Genomic DNA, 8,125 nt, shown 5'->3' with positions numbered 1-8,125 from the left:
TTCTGACCTTTAGTAATTTAATGTCAAAAATTTAACATTTTAGGACAAAACCTATATAAGGCAATTATTAAGTTTTTATCTTAAAATTTATAAGGAAGCAAAACCAACATTTGTTTTTAAAGGAATATGATTCCAGTTCCTGTAAGACCAGGTTTAGAATGGGAGACATGGATGAGAAAAACTATTAACAAATTCAACCATCCAGAAGAACAGAGAAGCTATTTCTGAAATCTTATTAAAACATATTCCTGGAGATCTTTAGAGTGCCCTCAGATAACAATATTCAAAACACAATGTAGGGTCATTGTTTCTAACAAATTTTTCTTTTACACCATTAATGTGGAAAGCAGAACGGTTAATTTTATTGTGTTAGCTAAGTGCATGATTCTCTATTGGCCTTTCTAAAATTTTAATTTTTAATATGTACATCATAATCTTTGATAGAAGGTTTTTTATTATATTATAATAGAATAAATGTGTAATGTAATATTTTCTATGTGAGTAATAAAGTAAACGTAATAACTGCAGTGAATTCTCATAATTTTATGTTGCTTTGGCATCCATTTTGAATACAAGTTTAACTTTCTCATACCAGAAGCAGGGCTCAGTCAACCTTGATTCAGTTTCTAGTTCTACACCATATCCATCCAACTGGCTCAAGCCGGTAGCCAGAGATAGGAATTTACAGGCATCTCTTTGTCATGCAGACTGGGCTCCCCACTTTCCCACTGTTTCTTTTAAATGGACTATTCAGGCAATTGCCTGTGAGCTTAGAGTGACATACACCCTATTCCCTTAAATGTACTACTGGTAGTCATGTGCTCACTATCTCTGCCTTACTCTTGATTCCTGCCTCCAGTGAACCCAGGATGAAGGAGTGTTTCGACTCATCTGACTCATTATGCCTTCTTTGCCCTGGATCTGTAAGTAAAAACCTTTGAGGTTCCTTTTTTTTTTTTTTATATTGTGGTAGTGTAGTAAATTTGCTCCTTCCTTCCGAAAAACTAGGGGTTGCCCCAGGCCTGGTTTTCTGGAATAAGGAGGGTGGAGTGGGGTAGCATGGGAGTCACAATTTTGGGATGCCAGCACCGGGGTAATGGTCAGGGAAGCATACATTAGACATGAATTAGACAAGAGCCACCAGGGCATCTGCCAGTATTAAACAAGTTTCCCACGTGAGGGATCCCCGGTCATGGGTGAAACAACTAGGCATTAGGCCATCTGCCAGGTAAAGAAGTATTCCATGAAAGGCACCCTGTAAATACACTAGCCCAACTCCCCTTCATTTCCCTTTGGGGCAAGGTTGCTAGCTGTTCTGGTGCTGGAACCTCAGTTGACTTGGGATTCTCAAAACAATAAGCCAACTTTGCATTTCTATTTATTTTAAAATTTGTCTCAAAAAAACACAATAAGAATTCTAGAAATTTATCTTTATCTTTAGTGCACAACTTGATGCCTTTGAAACTAAGGGAGTTTTAATGAGATTAGGTATCAGGATTTTTATATGTAGATATGTGAAAAATAATTGTTTTCTCTGATCCAACAACACAACAAATTGATATTCTCTTTTTAATTTTAATCCCATCACCCCCCTGTGGAAGTCTCCTTTATTTGGAGAGAAATATTTGAATGTGAAAAGAAGAAAGTCATTTGGAATTTGTGAAGTTTGACATGGCAAATCAGCAGGTCATCAAGTAGCCACAATAATTTAATCATGAGTCAGCTAGCTTACAGTATTCTCTCTTTGAGATTTCCTCGTTCACCGGCAAATCATTTATTTTTGTCTTCAATAGGATCTTAGCCTTAGCGTAAGAAAAGAAAACCCATCTGTTTCCATAGATCAGCCTACAGTCTGACCTTGCTCTTCTTACTAATATAAAATTCATTTTGTGTATATATACATATATATATATACATACACACACACACACAGAAAGAGAGTTTAGTAACTGTAGTATATCTCCAAATGGTGCTTAATTCTATTTAAAATGTAAAATTAACATAATTTCTGTGATGAAAAATAGTTGCAAAAAGGCTTGCTTTTATTTTTAAAAAGCCAATACATAATAACAGCTCCCACTGCTTCTCATACAAAAAGTCCACATAGATATTAGATATATTAAAATAAAATATAGATTCTCCAATCTATATGCAGCATGGTCTCGATATGAAATTTGTACACTTATATCCAAAACTGAATACTTTTCCTTTAAGTTTAGGTTCAATCAGATTGTTTATTAGTTTTATGCTTTATGTTCTGTTTCTGGACATTTTGATAATATTAACCAGTTTATATTTCCATTTAGTTTTATAAAAGTTAAGTTTATAAAGTTTTGTTTGTGAGAACAGTGCTCTATATTACCAACAAACACATATTTAATTAGGTTTTGTAATTAATTGCAATTTAGCCACTAGAAAAAATGACCACTATAACTCTATCCAGGTTTATGTAATGTCAGTAACAGTCCTTTATTCATTTTTCATCTTTTTTTATTTCATTAAATCAAGCATTATATTAGGAACTTAAATAAAAATATAGATATTATAAGTTTTTAGATCTCAAAAATAAGGTGACCAGGGCAACTGATATGTAAACAATTTATTATGTAATATATTTGATGTCTGAAAAGTTACATAGGAGGTGAGTTAAAAGGTAATTAAACCATATCTTAAGCACAGATTAGTCTTTTCATTTGGAGATATTCACAAGTAATGTACAAAACTTTTAAATTTATTTTAGTTATGGCAGCAGTAAGGTTGAATCACTCTAATAATTGTCATTACTCCTAATTTTCTATATTCATAAAATTCAAAATGTCAGCAAATACATCTTTAACCATGCTGCTCAGAAGTGTAATGTAAAAAGATTTTGGTTACATACACATACATGCAAAATACATATATACACATATGTTTGTATACATATATTTACATATGTATAAATATAATGTATACATATATTGGTATGCACATATATACAATTACACTATAAATATATGTATACATATATTTGTATGCACATATATACAATTGCACTTCCATTATGCATACATATTCATTGTACATATATTAACTTCACATATAAATGTATATGCATATGTATTTGTATATGTGTGTGTGCATCTATATATTCACTTTCCATCTTTTTATTTTTATTTTTATTTTTATTTTTTAAAGACAAAATCTAGCTCTGTCACCAGGCTGGAGTGCAGTGGCACGATCTTGGCTCACTGCAACCTCCTCCTCCTGGGTTCAAGTGATTCTCCTGTCTCAGTGTCCCGAGTAGCTGGGACTACAGGTATGCACCACCACACCCAGCTAATTTTTGTATTTTTAGTAGAGGCGGTGTTTCACCATGTTGGACAGGATGGTCTCCATTTCTTGACATCATGATCCGCCCACCTCAGCCCCTCAAAGTGCTGGGATTACAGGTGTGAGCCACAGCACCCGGCCATCCCTCTTAAAGAACTTGGGATTTAAATATACACACTCAGAGGCAGATGGGGAAAGAGGAACAATGGAAAATAGAAAAACTGGTGACCAACCAGTGAGAATAGAAAAAGCACATGAAAATAGTATTAGATTTTATATACAGGGCCTAGGTCAGAGAGTCATGTAACTTACTAATATGTGTTACCTTTGCATGCTATATTTCCCAGAAGGAAAAGTAGAAAACATGATTAATTAGAGGATCCAGTCAGTGTCCATAAAATAAAAACATTTGCTCACAAGAAGCAAAACTATCCTCTTATTAATATCTGAAAAAACCTTTTCTCTAATGTCTTATAGGATGCTATGGAATGTATTGTGAATGACATGCTTACCACATATACAGAAGACAGAGTTGAAGGGCTATTTGCCATAACAACCTTCACAGTATCTCTTTGTTAATACAATAAATCTTCTTTCCTTAAAGCCAAATAAACACACTAGCTAAACAATCTCCTAAAAAACACAGTTATCATGGTCTTATATCAGACAAGAATAGATTTTAAACTACCTGCAGAGAAACAGGGAGTGCATCCCATTTCAGATAATCCTTTTATTAGAATGTACTCCCTGACCTAAACTTGTTAAGCAATCCAGAGTTTGAATTTAGAGTCTGTATCAAATAGCTGGAATTATTATCTATTCCAGTTTGCCAATTAAGAATAGAATCATATCTTTTAACAATTTATTAAGCTGGAGGTGGACATGATATTTTACTATGAAAATTACAGAATTTTACAGAATGGACATCTTAAAAATACATTAAAAAGAGAAAAGCATTTGAATTGAGGACAGTGATACTTAAGCAAAATTGCAAAAGCCTACTATGCATCAACAGATATTTTAACCATCATGTGTGACTCCAATCATGAGTGAAACTATTAAAACAAATGGGTAATACGTTGTGTGTTAATTATTTTGTTCTCTTTGTCCGTCTCCATATAAAATTATAATATATTTGAAACATGTAGCATATTAAAGCTTGGCTCACAAATTATAGCTTGGGAATATGCAGAAAAGATGATATTCCTAAAAGGAAAAGCAGGCCCCAAGAAGCTCTCTCTAGTGAAAATTATTAGAGTTCAGTAATTCTTGAAAACAACAGCAGGTACACAAATCAAGGTTGGAAACACTCCAAAGATCTCAAATAATAAAGTAGGTAAGATTATTGATAACAAAAACATTGTTTTTATGTTATCTTAACATATTTCTTACCTCAATTTCACAACTAGCTTCAGTATTTAGTGTTAAAATGTATATTTTCTGCTTTGAATGATTCATCCTTATGGAACTAGAAGATGTAGGATAAAAATATTGTTTGGTGATGTATTTTGACATCTGGTTGATATTTTAACTGACTGCTGAGCTCAAAAATCATGAATGTCTATACAGAAACTGTTTATGCTTGTGCTTCTAGAGTGGAATGCAACTCAACTGGTCTAGCTGACAACTCTCTGTAATCTGAGTTGCTCTTAATGTTTACCCTTTGGCTATGTCTGTATAATACAAGGTAAAGGTATATGTGGTAAATTGAAGCCAGAGATAACTAATCTGTATGCCCAGGGTCTAAACAATTAAATACCTTGTTCCATGAAAATATATTGAGGTCATACCTTCACAATGGTAGATAAAGTAAGATAAAGAAATTTAGCTTTGCACAGAAATTTATCAGCAATATTTTTGGCATTTGCTCATCTTCCATTATTGATTTTAACTTCCTCCTCCTCTTCCTCCTCCTCCTCCTCCTCCTTCTTCCTCTTCTTTCTTCTTCCTTTTTTCTTCTTTCTTTTTCTTCTTCTTTTTTGTTCTGTGGTAGACAAACCTTAACATTGTCTCAACTTCCTGGTATACATGCGCTTGTGTAATCCTCTCTCATTCACTGTGACTTGCTTTAAAATAATGGAATACAGCAAAGGCTACGAAACGTCACTTCTCTGAATAGGTCACATAAAATTCACATAAGTTCCTTCTTGGTAGCAGAATCTCTCAATTGCTGTCTTTGAAGAGCCAAGTTGTCATTTTGGGATACCCACAGGCTAAGAAACTGAAGGCAATCTCCAGCCAACAGGCAGCTAGGAAATAGCGCCCTCAGTCTAAGGGCCCTAAAAGAACCGAATTCTGCCAGTAACCTTGTACTCTTGAAAGCAAATCTTTCCATAGTCTAGCTTTGAGATGCAGCCTTAGTTCATATAATGATTGTAGCTTTGGGAGTGATTCTGAGTCAGATAACTCAGGTAAGCTGAGCCCTAATTCCTGAGCCACAGAAACTGAGAGATAATAAATGTGTATGTTGGTTTTAAAGTCTCTGAGCTTATAGTAATTTACTATACAACAATGGATAGCTAATACAAGATCAAAAAAATGTTTTCTGTAAATTAGCATATTTTCAATGAAGAAATAACTAACTCTTACTGGCATATTTCTATTTTATGTTGCACTTTGTAGGAAAATTAAGTGATTGGTAACAAACAAAGAAACAAAACCCATGGAAACTCACGTTTAAAAAAAAGAAATTCCATAGATAATTTCAATCAATACATAGGCTTAATATGTTGAATAAGTATTTGGTTTTTGACAAAATCATTTCTAAGCTTTTTCTACCAATTTGTCCTTGATACAAGGCAAAGTACTTGGTATCAGGCTTCTAGTATTTGCTAGTTATAGGCAGCTATTGTTAGAAAGAATAAAACATTTGTACATTAATTTGGACAACTACATTTTAGAAATTATACTAAATATAACATATGTGCAGAAAAGTTTACAAATAATTACTGTACAGCTCACTAAATTTTCACAAAGTGAACATCCATACATAATCAGTATTCAGATTAAGAAATAGAACATTAGCAACAATCCAGAAGTTTCTTCCAAAAAGAGGAAGACCATGGAAGTGAAGTGCCATTCTAAGCATATCATGTCAATGGTACATGGCTTATCACTGTTGATGTTGACTTTGACTACCTGGCTGAGGTAATGTTTGTCAGAATTTTCTACTACAAAAGTTTTTCTTTTCCCACATTTTCATACTGAACACTTGCAAGAAAGTCACTGCATGTAGTCCACACTTAGAGTGGCAAGTTTTGTTTCATCTATTAAAGGAGCAATATCTACATAAATCTTTTAACATTCTTCTGTATGAGAAAATTATCTATTCTCTCCTATTTATGTATTTGATCATTTATTTACATTTGTATGAAAGAAAGGAGAAAGTTCTTTCATGCTATGGGTATATTCAACATTACATTATTTATTTTGTTACTCAGATTGTTTCAGCTTTGACAACTGCAGTAGAGTTGGCATCTATGTCTGACATATTCCCACTGATGTATTTTCTGAACCCTTTCTTACTTTTTCCTGAATGCTTTCTTACTCTTAGACACTAAAACACTATTCAGGCTTATTTTCCATATTTTATTCCCAGTCTTAGAATCATCCATATCTCCCAAGAGCCTGCTTCCTTTTATTGGAGAATTGTATTGGAAAATAAGATCTAGGTGCTAGACATGCTTATTGCTACTGTGGTGTCATTGCTTCTATGCCCTCCTAGCTGACAGAGCAAAAGATACAGTAGGAATGTCTACTAACTCACATGTGCAAATCTATACTATCTATATATGCAGGAATCTCTGCCCATATTAAGGCATACATGATTCCTGTCAATGTTTACTGTATCTTTTAATATGAGCATTCTTAGTTTTTCTCATTTTTCCTCATTATATGGTAAACATATTAATAGATTTTCTCATGTTGAACCAACCTTTTATTTTAGGAAATAAACCACAATTATCATAATATTGTGTTCCATTTATACAATATCAGATCGGGTTTTCCAATAATCTGTTTATCATTTTTGCATTTATGTGCATAGAAGTTTTGTCTGTAATTTTTCTTTCTTGTGATATCCTGGTTAGGTTTTGGTTTGTAGGTCATGCTGGATCCATAAAGTGAAGTGTGAAAGGTTTTCTCTCTTTATGCTTCAGTGAAAACTTGAAGCTATTATTCTTATTGTTGTTCCTTTGAAATACATTTTTTCATTTTTTTTAGCTGCTCTTATCTTTCTTGTGTCTTTTGTGGTGAACTTTTTTCTATGACATGGCCTAGTGTGGCTTTGTTTTATTTGGGATTTATAGGACTTCTTGGTAATTCTTTTTATTTGCTTTAGACAATTCTTGGCAATTATGCCTTCATATTTTGCTTCTACTCCATTTTTTTCACCTCTCTTTCTAGGACTCCAATTACATGTACAATAAATCATTTCAATTTGTTCTTTGCTTTATGTGGCTCTTTTATTTTTTTTTCTGTATTTTTCTCCCCTTTTCTAAATTCTGTTCTCAGACTGTATATTTTCTTTTGTCTTCAAGTTTGCTAATTCTCTTCTCTGTTGTGTCTAATATTCTGCTATTTATTTTGAGGTTCCTAATCTAAATTATTTTTATTTTTCAGTTTAAAATATTCAGCTGAATGTTCTTAGTGAATTCTAATCATTTGGTGAAATTCTCTGTTTTGTCTATAATTTTCTCCATCTTCTCCTCTATCATCTTATAAAACTTATCATAACAGTTTTAAAACCCTTCTTTAGTAACTTCAATGAGTCTCAGTCAATTTTGGATTTATTTCTGTTGTCAATTTGTCAGTT

At 33.0% G+C, this 8,125-nt stretch overlaps 1 annotated feature.

Moving 5' to 3' along the window:
• Window positions 444-1,186: an enhancer, noted in NCBI's record as "OCT4-NANOG-H3K27ac hESC enhancer chr10:58982109-58982851 (GRCh37/hg19 assembly coordinates)". NCBI's record gives its function as "activates a minimal SCP1, AML or CMV promoter by ChIP-STARR-seq in naive and primed H9 embryonic stem cells {active_cell/tissue: H9 hESC(naive and primed)}" and the evidence as "EXISTENCE:reporter gene assay evidence [ECO:0000049][PMID:30033119]".

This window comes from Homo sapiens, chromosome 10 (assembly GCF_000001405.40).
Source record: "Homo sapiens chromosome 10, GRCh38.p14 Primary Assembly".
NCBI classification, from domain to species: domain Eukaryota; kingdom Metazoa; phylum Chordata; class Mammalia; order Primates; family Hominidae; genus Homo; species Homo sapiens.
Note: the sequence above shows the minus strand (reverse complement) of the source record. Positions and strands in the feature narration are given on the sequence as shown.